Raw genomic sequence first — 13,461 nt, forward strand, 5'->3', positions numbered from 1 at the left:
GAAAAAGATGGAAATGGTGGGAAGTTCTAAACTGGGAAAGAGGTTTGGCTGTCAGAGGAAAAATGCTGGGCCTTTTCCTCATCCAGATAGAGTGGTGACCCCAGATTTCCATGTGGTATTTCAGGGATCCCAACAAGCCGGTCCCCCAGGACACCAAGTTCATTCACACCAAGGCCAACCGCTTTGAGGAAGTGGCCTGGTCCAAATACAATCCCCGAGACCAGCTCTACCTTCACATCGGGCTGAAACCAAGGGTCCGAGATCATTACCGGGCCACTAAGGTGGCCTTTTGGAAACATCTGGTGCCCCACCTATACAACCTGCATGACATGTTCCACTATACGTCCACCACCACCAAAGTGCCGCCTCCGGATACCACCCACAGCTCCCACATCACCCGCAGGCCCAATGGCAAGACCTGGAGCACCAAGCGGCCAGCCATCTCACCTGCCTACAGCAACGAGAATGCCCAGGGGTCCTGGAACGGGGACCAGGATGCAGGGCCACTCCTGGTGGAGAACCCTCGTGACTACTCCACTGAATTAAGTGTCACCATCGCCGTGGGGGCCTCCCTCCTGTTCCTTAACGTTCTGGCCTTCGCTGCCCTCTACTACCGTAAGGACAAACGGCGCCAGGAGCCCCTGCGGCAGCCTAGCCCTCAGCGGGGAGCCGGGGCCCCGGAGTTGGGAGCTGCTCCAGAGGAGGAGCTGGCAGCATTACAACTGGGCCCCACCCACCACGAGTGTGAGGCCGGTCCCCCCCATGACACGCTGCGCCTCACTGCATTGCCCGACTACACCCTGACCCTGCGGCGCTCCCCGGATGACATCCCACTCATGACCCCCAACACCATCACTATGATCCCCAACTCCCTGGTAGGGCTGCAGACATTGCACCCCTATAACACCTTTGCCGCAGGGTTCAACAGTACCGGGCTGCCCCACTCACACTCCACTACCCGGGTATAGCTCCAACTCAGAGCACAGCCAATCTCCAGGCTCCCTCCCTCCCAGATCCAGGAACACATGCACACACACACACACACACACGCAGACACACACACACACACACATATATGTATACGCACGCACCCACACCCTACAGCAGATCCACCTGCACAAACATAGACAGATGTGGACATGCACCCGCATGTACAAAAACACAAATACGGAAGTAAACCTGAACAAACCCTTTAAATGGGGACGCAGATGAGTCCTCGGTAAACCGAGGACCCATGAAACAGCAGCTGAAGCCAGCTCCCTGAATCTGACCACAGACACTCCTGGGGGGCCTGAAAGCAACAGCTGGACACCCCCTTGGTGCTCGCCTTCGGCCTCTCTTGGAACTGCACCACCGACCAACTCCAGACTTGGGAGCTTTAAAGAGCAGGATAGCTCTTCCTCCCCAGGACTTGGTCTTTTTTCTGGGTCTTGTTTTGTTGATTTTTCTTTTTTAATTTTGGAACAAATGCTTTTCCAACCCATGAGTGCTAAGAGCCTCTGGAAGGGAGGGCTTCAGGCCCGAAGGTCTCTCTGGCTCTAGGACCCCCAGTGCTCACACAATCAGACCAAGGAACAAGACCCCCAGGAAGGAAACAGATTTAAGCAAGACCATGGGGTGGAAGGAGAAAGGGGCTAGCACTGGATGGAGCTGGAGGGTCGTAGGGGAGAGATCTCCAACTCTCTCTGTGTCCGTGTGGAGGGCTGCAGAGCCTGCAGGGTGACCTGCTTCCCCAAAGGCCAACAGCATTGGCCTGGCCAGACCAGGTGACCTTAGATTTGGTGAACAACGTACTATGGAAGCCACATCACTATTGGGCCCCCAGGTCTGATCTGGGTTTTGCCTCTGCCCTTGGGGAAATGCTATCAGAAATTCGCCCCATTTTCTTTACAGTCTTTTGTGTCTGTCATTTCTCTTTCAAAAAGGCGGTGTTTTTTGTTGTTGTTGGTTTTTTTTTTTTTTTAAAGAAAAGTTCTTAAAACACTAACGGAAACCCATGGAGTTTGTCCTTTGTAAAAATTTTAAACACAGTGTCTTGATATAAAAATAAAAAATCCAGTTAGCACTCCCAACCTGCCTCCCTTGCACAGGCCTTGCCCCAACAGACCTCCGAACAGGGTGCCTCTGCGGGCTGGGAATCAGGCAATCAGGCAGCCTCCCCCTGCCTCCTGTATCTTTAAGCTGAGTCTGGGCTGCACTGTGCGGGGTTGGGGGTTGGGGGTTGGGGGTTGGGGGTTGGGGGCCCCTGCATGAAGGCCTCTCCAATCTTAATCAGGTTGCTCTTCCCATCCCCCTGCCCCCAGCGCGCTGGGTTCCTGCAGCTGAAGCCTCCTCTCAGCACTTCAGGCCTCCTAATGAAATGGCAAAAATACTTCCTTCCTTCTCTGCACCGCTGCGGCCTCCTCCTCCTCTTACTTCTCCTCCTCCTCCTCTGCTGCAACCACCCTGCCCTCACCTTGGACTGGGGGCTGGGAGGAGGTTTGACCTCTAACGTGCTGAAATTCTTTCTCCTATCTGAATCCAGTGCAGCGTCAGACGTGGACTCCCTGGCCTTGAGTGACTGACAGAGCAGAGGCCCTCTCCTTCCCCAGGGATACTTGTTTGCTGCTCTGTGAATTAGAACTGGAGAAGTCCTTGGGGCCCTGGGAGCGATTTTTCTACAGGATTGTGATCAGTGACTCCCTATCAACCCTGGGGCATGGATTCAGTGGGGCCTCACAGGGTTAGCATTATGGGATTTCATATTATTCTCAGTGACTTGAAAGACTGAACTGGGAGTGTGCTCGGCAAGTATGATAGTTGGGTGGGGTTGCTGATACCTCAGAAAGCAGGAATAGAATTCTTCAAATGACCCTGATAAAATGAGGGAGATGAACCATCACAAGGAGGACCATGTTCAGAGAGGACGAACACAGGTAGTGTGTACAAAGACCAAAACCTAGAACTAATACACTAATATGGTACACTGGAGATGGGCAGTGATTGACTTGACACAAGTATAGTTAAAAAGAAGAAGAACTGGGGAGATGGTGTAAGGGTACATCACAAGTGAGTCCATGGTGTAAAACTGGTTTTTCCCCCTCCTTTCCTCACACCCTTCTTTCCTTTCTTTTTTCCAAAACTAATGTGGATCCTGCATATAGTAACAAAAACACAGCATGGAGGATCTGAGAAGTCATCCAAGTGTGAGTTTTAGAACCAGAAGTCACCCGAGAGTCATCTAGTCCAACCCATTTATTTTATAGTTGAGGAAATGGGCCCAGAAAAGCCCGTCACAGTTAGTATTAGAAACAGACCTAGAATGCCACCCAGCACTACACGACCCTTGCCATAGTCCCACTCAACTCGTTCCACTCTACCTGCCATTGGTCATACCTTTCAAAGCATGATGGGTCTACCCTTGGCCAACACATTTTTAGCAAAAGTGGAAAGCTAGAGAGGGTCTGGAGAAGAGCATAAATAATGCCACGGGACTAGGTGCTGTGTGTGTGTGCATGCGTGTGTGTGTGTGTGTGTGTGTGTGTGTGAGATCTAGAAAGGAAAAAGCTGATGAGGTAACATTCAATGGTTGTAGGGCACCTACCATGTGAAAAGTGTGCTATACCCATCTTCAAAATTTAACTCCTAAATAAGGACAGAGCTGATGACCTGTTCTCCGTTTCTTTTGAGAATGATAGAGGGGAAAATGAGATCAAGTGAAATACAAGGAATAACTTTGCTATGAATAGGAAATGATCACAAGCACCTAGTGAGTTCTCAATCGCAGTTGCCAAATTGAGTGAATGGCTACTAAGGGAAGCACTGGTATTTCTCATCTTCCTGAAAGCAGAGAGCTAGATTATATGACTTTTTTTTTTTTTTTAACAGAGATGGGGTTTCACCATGTTGCCCAGGCTGGTCTCAAACTCCTGGGCTCAAGCAATCCTCCCACCTCGGCCTCCCAATTGACCTTTTGAGGTCAATTCAGAGTCTTTGTTCTTATGTTCCATCCTTTGATTGCTCCATTTGAGATATTACGTGGCCTCCTATTTGAGACCATACCTGGCCTCCTGTTCTTTAGTGGGGAGTGTACCTCCAAGTTAGGAGTGCTCTCTATTTTGGGAAGATTTAGACACTGCCTCTCCTCTAAGAACTCAAGGCGCCATAGCAAAACCAGCTCCAATCCTATTAGGGACCCATCAGTGAGAGATTACAATTGGTCTTCACACCTTTGAAAGGTCTAGGTGGAAGAGGTGACCTCCAAGACAGGCATGATTTCAATCTAATTGACAGTCAATTCTGTGCCCCTGTAGCCTCAGGTTCTCAGCCCTGTTGCTGATGGCCAGCCCTGGGTCCAGCTAAAATGCCCAGCTCCTTGTTTGAAGTGAAGCTGAGGATATACTTGGATTTATTTAACATTGCAAAAAGCATTAGTGCCTAGATTCGGTCAGTCCACATCCCTAGATTTATCTGGTTTCTATTTTAGTCCTTTAAGGAGTTGGACACAGCTATCATATGATCTGAATTTGTAGTGTGTGTGAAGGGTCAGAGGTTGGTCACTGTGGAAATCTCCATAGCTTGAAGTATGGTTATCAGGACTGTAGGCTTGGCCTTGTGCTAGTTTACATACTGTGGGGGATAGAAGACACCTATTTTGGGTTGTGTACTGTCAGGAAGACAAAACGGAACCACAATCCAATGAATGAAATGCATGTGCTTCAATTGTATGGTAAAGGTTAAATGGATTGGAGAAACTGTAAGAAAGGCTATGATGGGATTGGGGTGGGTGGGTAGAGTAGTGGGCATTCCAAATTGGAGGGAAACCTCAGCCAAATCATGGAGATGAGAAGGTCTAGGTGTGCTTGAGGGGATGGGCCAAAATGGTGGGAAATTAGCTTGGTAAGGCAGCTCATGAAGATCTTCACAACAGAAGAGTTTGGCAATTATTGATTGAGCAACTGGACACCCTGACTGAACTCTTTTGCCAATAGTTTTATGGTGGAAAAACAAAACCTCCTCAGCTCCTCTTTCACTCCTTCTCTTCTGCAAGGAAAACGATTTTCAGACTAGAAAGGACAAGGTGAACACCAGAGAGAAACTCCTGAAGGCAGTCTAGTTCAAGAGAGCCGTAAGCTGCCTTGAGTAACTGCATCTCATTGTCTGAGTCAGTAGCATCCCAGGGCACTTAAGGACTTGCAGCTCAAATTGCAGGACAACTGGTGGTGGCCCTGAAAACCCCATGAAGAAGGGAAGAGATACGTGCTGCAGCCTAGAGATGGGTAAACATGGCCCCACTTTGACAGATGGGAAAAGGTAAACTCCACAAATTATAGATCAATACATTTGATATTGATTGAGGGCAAGATTCTAGGACAAATGATTAAAAGGATGGTTGGTGAGCACTTACAAAAGGAAGCGACGATCACTCAGTCCCCACATGGATTCAGGAAAAACAAATCATGCCCCACTGGGTTCATTTCCCTTGACAGAGTGACTGGACAGGTAGAGGAGGGAAAAGTTATCACCCACAGCGTATCTAGAGTTCAACCAAACATTCTCTCAATGCTTTTGGGAAAACATGTATACATGTGGGGTGGGTAAAGGTAAACCTAGGCGAATTCTTAACTGGTTGAATGACTACATACAAAATAGTTCTGTTTTAATGTCACTAGATCAAATTTGCGAATTACACAAAGTTGGTAAAGTCCCTTATTTGAACTTCAAAATGTGGCAGTACAAATGTAAGATGTGAGAGATGTGGCTTAGAGGCATTTTAGAGTGAATGAAAGCTCATGAGTTGAAAGTGTGGTTTGGTTGCTGTAAAAAGTATTGTGACCTTGGGCCATATTACTAAGAGTACAACTTTCAGAACAAAGGAGGTGATCATCTTGTGCTACTTTGCACTGATCAGACCACATCTGATGCCCAGTGTTCAGTTATGAGCACCAGACTTCAAGGGAGATGTTAACAAAAGTATATCCAGAGAAGAGTGAGAAGACTGAAGAATCCCAGGAGAAATTTGTCTACTGTCAGTGAGTAATTACTGGGCTCACAGTAGATTTGTTCTGCGTGACTTCAGGGCTCCAAGATCTAATGGATGGAAATTATAGGAAAGCAGATTTGGGTTCAACATGAGGAAGATGCTCCTTTTCCTTCCTTTTTTATGATGAAAAATTATAATAAAAGTTTCAGCTCCTGATTCCAGCCTCTTGAAGTCCTTTAAAATGTATTACCAACAGTTTCAAAAACAGAAGAAAAATGTCCTAATCCCAACATCTAAACATAAGCATTTTGCTATGTTTGGGAAGAACTTTCTAGTATTAGTAGTACTCTCTGCAATTAAAATGGACTGCCCCTAAAAGTAGGCAGTTCTCCATCACCAGAAATATTCAAGCAGGGACTCCATGTGGATGATGCAGACAATGAAAGCATCTGATAAAAGACTGAACCAGATGACCTTTAGGGTTACTGAGATTCTATCATACTTGAGCTGGAAGGTCTCATGGTAGAGTATTCAAGAAAATATTTCTAGAGCCTACGTGCAAGGTGAATTAGAGGAGGAAAGACTGGAAGCAGAGATAATAACTAGTTCAGAGGTACCTACTCTGAGGGCTAAAACTATTTTCGCCTCCAACCACCCCCCCAACTTGAATTTCAAAATTATAGTGTCAGAAGTAGCTTTAGGCTAGGTGCGGTGGCTCACACCTATAATCTCGGCACTTTGGAAGGCCGAGGTGGGAGGATCTTGAGCCCAGGTGTTTGAGACCAGCATAGGCAACATAGGAACACTCTGTCTCTAAAAAAAAAAAAAACAAAAAAATTAACCAGGCGTGGTGGTACATGCCTGTGGTCCCAGCTATTCAGGAGGCTGAGGTGGGAGAATCACTTGAACCCAGGAGGTCGGGACTGCAGTGAGCTGTGATCGAGCCACTGCACTCCAGCCTGGGTGACATAGAGAGACCTTGACTCAAAAAAAAAAAAAAAAAAAAAGAGGAAAAAGAAAAAGCAGCCTTAATGGTTACCTAGTTCCCCTCCCTTATGATCTGGTGCTTGATTCCCTTCTGCAATCTCTTTGCCAAGTAGTTATTTTGCCTCTGCTTAAATATTAAATACTTCCATTGATAGGAAATTCTTGTCCTCCCCAAAAAGACTAGTGCATATTATAGCATCTCAAACCATTATGAAGTTCTACCTTATGTTGATTCAAAATCAGCTTTCCCACGGTACCCACCCATTGCTCCTGATTGCACGCTGTTACAAAGCAAAACAAGGTGAATCCCCCTTCTATATGAGGACTCTTCCAATACTTGTATTGTTTTCTCTTTTTAAATTTTTTTTATTTTTTTAAAATTATTATTATTTTTAGATGGAGTTTTGCTCTGTCACCCAAGCTGGAGTGCAGTGGTGTGATCTCGGCTCACTGCAAGCTCCGCCTACTGGGTTCAGGCAATTCTCCTGCCTCAGCCTCCCGAGTAGCTGGGACTACAGGCACACACCACCACACGCGGCTAATGTTTGTATTTTTAGTAGAGACGGGGTTTTGTCATGTCGGCCAGGATGGTCTTGATCTCTTGACCTTGTGATCCACCCACCTCGGCCTTCCAAAGTGCTGGGATTACAGGCGTGTGCCATCACACCCAGCCAAAATTTTTTAAAAATATTTTTCTAGAGAAGGGGTCTCACTATGTTGCCCAGGCTGGTCTCCAACTCCTGGGCTCTTGTGATCCTCCCACCTTGGCCTCCTGAAGTGCTGGAACTACAGGCGTGAATCACCTTGCCCTACCCCAATAGTTTGAACCTGTATTTGAAAACTGGATCCTGAACCACCATCATCACCCTGTTGATCCCCACTCCAGGTTAAAGAGCTCCAGTCATTCATACACAATGATTTTCAAGTCTTCCCACACTCCTGGTCTCTTGCTTTTTGTACACGCTCCAGGCTGCTAACATCCCTGTTCATATATGGTAATCCAAGGCTAAAGACAGTCATCCAGTGTGGTCTAATGAGCAGAGAGGAAAGCAGAACTGTAATCTCCCCCATTCCAGACCCTAACATATTAGCATTCGGGGCAGCTAGTGTCAAAAATAATGAGGTTACAATCACCCCAAACACTTAAAACCTTTTCACACATGTCTCTCTTACCTTGCACTTAAGCATTTGGTTTTAAAAACTTAATTATGAAACTTTACATTTCATCTTCCTGGTTCATTATGGACTCTTGGGATCTTTCTGAAGCCAGCTTCATGTCATTTGCAAATTTGATCAGCACGTCATCAATGTCCTCATCCAAGTCATTAATTAAATTATTGGCTAGGCAAAGGACCTCCCTCCAGGCTGACAAAGATCCATTAGTCACCAGCTGTGAATACACCCAACTGTCCTGTCTTCACCCCACATTTTTCCTTCTTATCTACAAGGACATCTCACGCCAGGGCATTCTTCAACAAAACAAGACTGCATTCTGAAATTCTTTTTGGAAACAGGGAGTGGGGAGGAGAAGGGAGTGGGAACGAAAGGAGAGGAGTTTGACCTTTAGATCTTCTCCTCCCTTCTCCCCAGCCCCCAGGATGAGCCCTGTGGCTTCAGTCTCCAAGAAGGAATTTTCCAACCAACAGCTCAGATGTAGAAAGTTGAAATAACTGGACTATAGGGTCAGAAAACCTGCATTCAGATCCATCTCTGCCTCTTCCTAGCTGGATGACCTTGGTTGAAGGGTTTAACATCTCCGAGTCTGTTTGCTCATCTGTAAAATAGGGACAGGACGATTACACCTACCTCACAGAGTTGTTGTAAGGATTAAATGAGAAGATGTATGTGAATGTGCTTCGGAAACTGTAAGCATTATACAAATGTCAGATATTATTATTATGACTGAGTGCCTACTGTGTTCCTCAGTATAGGCTATAAAAAGATAAATACGACATAGTCTTTGCCTTCAGGGAGCTCACAGTTCTGTAGCAGAGATATGTTCACAAATAGCCGTGGTATAAAGTATAACAGGGCAAAATGGCCCAAGTTATTACAGTAATTCAGAAGAGGGAGCAGGCCCTTCAGACTGGGGGGAACCAAAAGAGAGGCTTCAAAGAGTTTGATCTGTACCCTGACAAATGGGATGGATCTGACAGATGGACACGGCTGAGAGAGGACAGCATTCCAGGTGGAGGAGTCTAGGGATGGGTATTTATGGAACGCGTCTGCGGTGCTGGAAGCAGGCCTGTTTGATTGTAAGAAGTAATGAGGCTGGTCAGCCACATCACAACTTTTTTAGACACGGTCATTTTCAGCATGCCCAGGGTAGAGCATTCAGTCCTTCAGAAGGAGGACTAGAATTTAAGCAGAGCCTCTGAGGTCTCATGTCTGTTGTTCAACTGACCTCCTTGGAGAAAAACAACTCTTCTGGAGGGTGGTGGCATCCAGAAAGGTTCTAGGAAAATCACCTTTTTCCTTTTCTGAAGCTGAAAAATAGGTCTCTGGGAAGAACAGGGACTAATGCCACATTTAAATCCTAAAAATCGGCCAGGCGCGGTGGCTCACACCTGTAATCCCAGCACTTTGGGAGGCCAAGGCGGGTGGATCACCTGAGGTCAGGAGTTCTAGACCAGCCTGGCCAACGTGGTGAAACCCTGTCTCTACTAAAAATACAAAAATTAGCTGGGTGTGGTGGCGGGCACCTGTAATCCTAGCTACTCAGGAGGCTGAGGCAGGAGAATCGCTTGAACCCAGAGGCAGAGGTTGCAGTGAGCCAAGATCACGCCATTGCACTCCAGCCTGGGCCACAAGAGTGAAACTCCTTCTCAAAAAATAATAATAATAAATCCTAAAAATCTTCAGCTGGAAGTGGCTCTGGCTTAAGAATTCAAGAGTTTTCATTGAAGGAGGGTCATCTGCCATATCTGAAAGGCTTCATATTCTTCAATTTCATGTGGGGAGTGGGGAGGGAGAGGAAAATAGTTCAAGGGCTCTCAAGGTCCATTTCCTGATGGTTTCTTCGGACCTATGGTTATGATTTGGTGCCACCTGGTGTCCGAGACAGAATATAGCGCCCTTGTGTAGAAGCCGCCTTCCCCCTCCTTCCTAAATCAAGAGCATTGAACTGCTTCCCAGCATCTAGGGATGGGGCTATCTTCCTTCCAGTAGGATAGAACCAGCCATTCAGAGGCACTCTGGGGTCTGTGTAAATGGAAAAGAAGAGGAGGAAAGGGAAAGTCCTGAACCAGGCCTCATAGCCATCCTTTCCTATGTTACCAAAGTTTATATTTTTCCCTAGAGTACCCCTGGGGTAAATAGAGTATCTTCCCCCAGAGTACTTTCCCCAGAATACTACAGGACTGGGTTTGCCATGTCCCTCTCTCTCTACCCCCACACATTCTCTTATGATGACTTGAGTATCCACAAAAGATTATTACAACACCTCTCTCTCAGACGTGACCAAGAGAAATTGTCATGATTGTCTAGGGTGGCCAAGGGAGGAGCAGTAAATGAGTCTTGTTCCCCCTGAGCTCAAGTTTAAATGTTGTTTCTTCCTGAGTGGGCTATACTATTCTAGAACGACTGAGCTAGAATAGCTCCTCCATAAGAAACCTGTTTATTGAAACTACACTTAGAATTCCTACAGCCCCTCTTAAAGGTTAGGGGAGGGAGAAACGGTGCCTCAGATAACAGAACAGATGGTGGCCCCCTTTTCCCTCAAGCCCCATTCCTAAATAGATTCAAAAGGATCAATAAAACTGACACTGAGGCTGGGTGCGGTGGCTCACACCTGTAATCCCAGCACTTTGGGAGGCCGAGGTGGGCGGATCACTTGAGGTCAGGAATTTTTGAGACCAGCCTGGCCAACGTGGTGAAAACCCGTCTCTACAAAAAATACAAAAATTAGCTAGGTATGGTGGCGGGTGCCTGTAATCCCAGCTACTCTGGAGGGTAAGGCAGGAGAATCACTTCAACCTGGGAGGCGGAGGTTGCAGTGAACCGAGACCGCGCCACTGCACTCCAGCCTGGGCGACAGCCTGAGACTCTGTCTCAACAACAACAACAACAAACAAACAAACAAAAACTGGAGTGGTCTGATGATAACTTATAAAGGAGTATTAGTAGAGCATAGTTTGAGGGGATGGCTTGAACTGGGATGGCCAGAGCTGAGCAAGGACAAGACTGAGCTAATGAAAAGGTTAATCCTTCTGCTACTACTTCCATTCCTAGGTACCCTTAAAGTCTGAGTTTCTGTTGTGCCCACTCAGGCTCTTCTGGGTGCTGGAGAATCCTGGACCAGCTCTCAGTTTGGATTGTCAATTGCAGGTGAGGGGCATGAAAATGGCAGAAGTGCAAAAGAAAGAAACCATCAGCTAGATTTGAATGCTTCGATTCATGGATCACTACTTTTATTTGCCTCAGTTCTTCCCTGGTCCCTATATTACAGGGCTGCCAGAGTGCATGCCCTCTAACTGTACCGGCTAAGAAGTAAACAAATTCCTTTTTATCTTTTAGTTAAGACAAGGCTGCAATTTTTGAAAAGTAACATTTGCTAGGACACTAATGAATAAGAAAGTAACCAAAAGAGGTAACAAGAGAACACACAAACAAATGGGCTTACAGTGTTCACATTTCTTATCTTGTATCAACTAAAGTTTAACCATAGTTGGCCGGGCCTGATGGCTCACACCTGTAATCCCAGGACTTACGGAGGCCGAGATGGGCAGATCACCTAAGGTCAGGAGTTTGAGACTAGCCTGGCCAACATGGTGAAACCCTGCCTCTACTAAATAAAAATAAAATAAACCCCATCTCTACTAAAATACAAAAATTAGCTGGGCATGGTGGCACACTCCTGTAACCCCAGCTACTCGGGAGGCTGAGGCTGGAGAATAGCTTGAACCCGGGAGGTGGAAGTTGCACTGAGCTGAACCACTGCACTCCAGCCTGGATGACAGAGCGAAATTCCATCTCAAAATAAATAAATAAATAAATAAATAAATAAATAAATAAATAAATAAAGCTTAACCACAGAGGAGGCCAGGCGCAGTGACTCACGCCTGTAATCCAAGCACTTTGGGAAGCTGAGGCAGGTGGATCACCTGAGGTCAGGAGTTCGAGACCAGCTGGGCCAACATGGTGAAACCCCATCTCCACTAAAAGTACAAAAAATTAGCCAGATGTGGTGGCAGGTACCTGTAATCCCAGCTACTTCGAAGGCTGAGGCAGCAGAATCACTTGAACCCGGGAGGCGGAGGTTGCAAGGAGCCGAGATCGTGCCATTGCACTCCAGCCTGGGCAACAAGAGTGAAAACTCCATCTCAAAAAAAAAAAAAAAAATCATAGAGGAAGTTATCTGGTACAATGTATAGGGCACCTAAGCAAATCCTTTTTTGCCAGGGTAACCTTTCCCAACTCATGAGAGGTCAGAGGTTAGACAAAGCTGCGTAGACCCGAACCTGAAGGTTGGTGCAAAAGTAATGGCGGTTTTTGCAATTACCTTTAACGGCAAAAACCGCCATTACTTTTGCACCAGCCTAACAGATCTAGTGAGTTTCACAGTCCCTGGTGGAATCGGTTTCCCATACTGCTCTCAGTGCAGAGACCCTAGTGGGTGCCTTCTGTCCTGGCACGTGCTGCTTTCCGGTTCTGCGGTTACCCTGGCCCTTGGGTTTCCCCCACCCTCCTCCCATCCTTTTCAGGCTCCCGGAAAGAGAAGACCCCCAGTGAAACTCCACCCCTTCACATAGTTTTGATGACTTAGGACATGTGTTCGGACAAATACAAAAAAATGTGCTTACGATTCTAATTAGAAAAAGACACTTAGAATTGAGACTGCTTCTGAAAATCTGATCCTGTGCTGGCAGTTCCTGTTGTTCTCAGCTAGTATTTCGTTTTAGTCCCCTAAAGTGGCCATGTGACCTTGATAGCAAACGCCATCTTTCTGCGGAGCCCGCCTGAGCTGCGGCAAGCTGCTCTGACGGCTCGCTAGCAATCTGCCTTTTCCGATTTCAAAATCTTTAGACCGCCCACCAAAACCCTTTTTCCGGTCGGAGAGGCCCGGCAGGCTCTCAGGTCATTTGCGGAGCAAACGTGATTGACACGATCTGCGTCTAATGAATGTTCGTCTGCTTCCCAGCTCGGATTACTAGTTCCGCTCCCTTTCCCAGTTTGTTTTTGATGACTCATCCCTCAAATTCTTCACACACTCGCCTGATTCCCGCCCCTCCCGTCCTCTCTCTCCTCGCTCCCACTCGACGCCCACCCCCCACCTCCGCCGCCTCGCCCTAGGGAAGTGGATTTGGTGAATCCTATCGAGGATCGTTTTTTTACAGTGTATTTTGAACATATAGAAGCAAAAAGCACAATTTCCGTACAGGAAAGAGGAGGTTCATTTCCTTATAAGGAGCTTAACCCCTCACTGTTCTTTGAGCTTTTTCTCGTCCACAAGATCGGGGTGGGAGCAGGGGCAGGAGAAACGACAGCGGGGCTTTTGCCACTCAATTTCCAGT

General features: G+C 46.8%; 1 protein-coding gene across 10 annotated transcripts in view, besides 3 other annotated features; it reads left to right on the plus strand.

The window, feature by feature from the left end:
- Positions 1-6,178, plus strand: part of NLGN3 (neuroligin 3) — a 30,467-nt gene extending 24,289 nt beyond the window's left edge. For 9 of the 10 annotated variants that reach the window (NM_181303.2, NM_018977.4, NM_001166660.2 and 6 more), the window contains one exon: positions 125-2,072. In NM_181303.2, coding sequence (NP_851820.1) covers positions 125-968 — 844 coding nt within the window. In that variant the 3' untranslated portion in view covers positions 969-2,072. Of the gene's footprint in view, positions 1-124; positions 2,073-2,524 lie in introns of those variants that run through there. The other variant, XM_017029597.3, reaches the window with a different exon arrangement.
- Positions 12,804-12,853: an enhancer, noted in NCBI's record as "active region_29738". NCBI's record gives its function as "activates an Ori minimal core promoter by ATAC-STARR-seq in GM12878 lymphoblastoid cells {active_cell/tissue: GM12878}" and the evidence as "EXISTENCE:reporter gene assay evidence [ECO:0000049][PMID:35858748]".
- Positions 12,910-13,204: an enhancer, noted in NCBI's record as "tiled region #11812; HepG2 Activating non-DNase unmatched - State 1:Tss, and K562 Activating DNase matched - State 1:Tss". NCBI's record gives its function as "activates a minimal TATA promoter and a strong SV40 promoter by Sharpr-MPRA in HepG2 and K562 cells {active_cell/tissue: HepG2 | K562}" and the evidence as "EXISTENCE:reporter gene assay evidence [ECO:0000049][PMID:27701403]".
- Positions 13,254-13,343: an enhancer, noted in NCBI's record as "active region_29739". NCBI's record gives its function as "activates an Ori minimal core promoter by ATAC-STARR-seq in GM12878 lymphoblastoid cells {active_cell/tissue: GM12878}" and the evidence as "EXISTENCE:reporter gene assay evidence [ECO:0000049][PMID:35858748]".

Source organism: Homo sapiens, chromosome X (genome assembly GCF_000001405.40).
Source record: "Homo sapiens chromosome X, GRCh38.p14 Primary Assembly".
Lineage (NCBI taxonomy): Eukaryota > Metazoa > Chordata > Mammalia > Primates > Hominidae > Homo > Homo sapiens.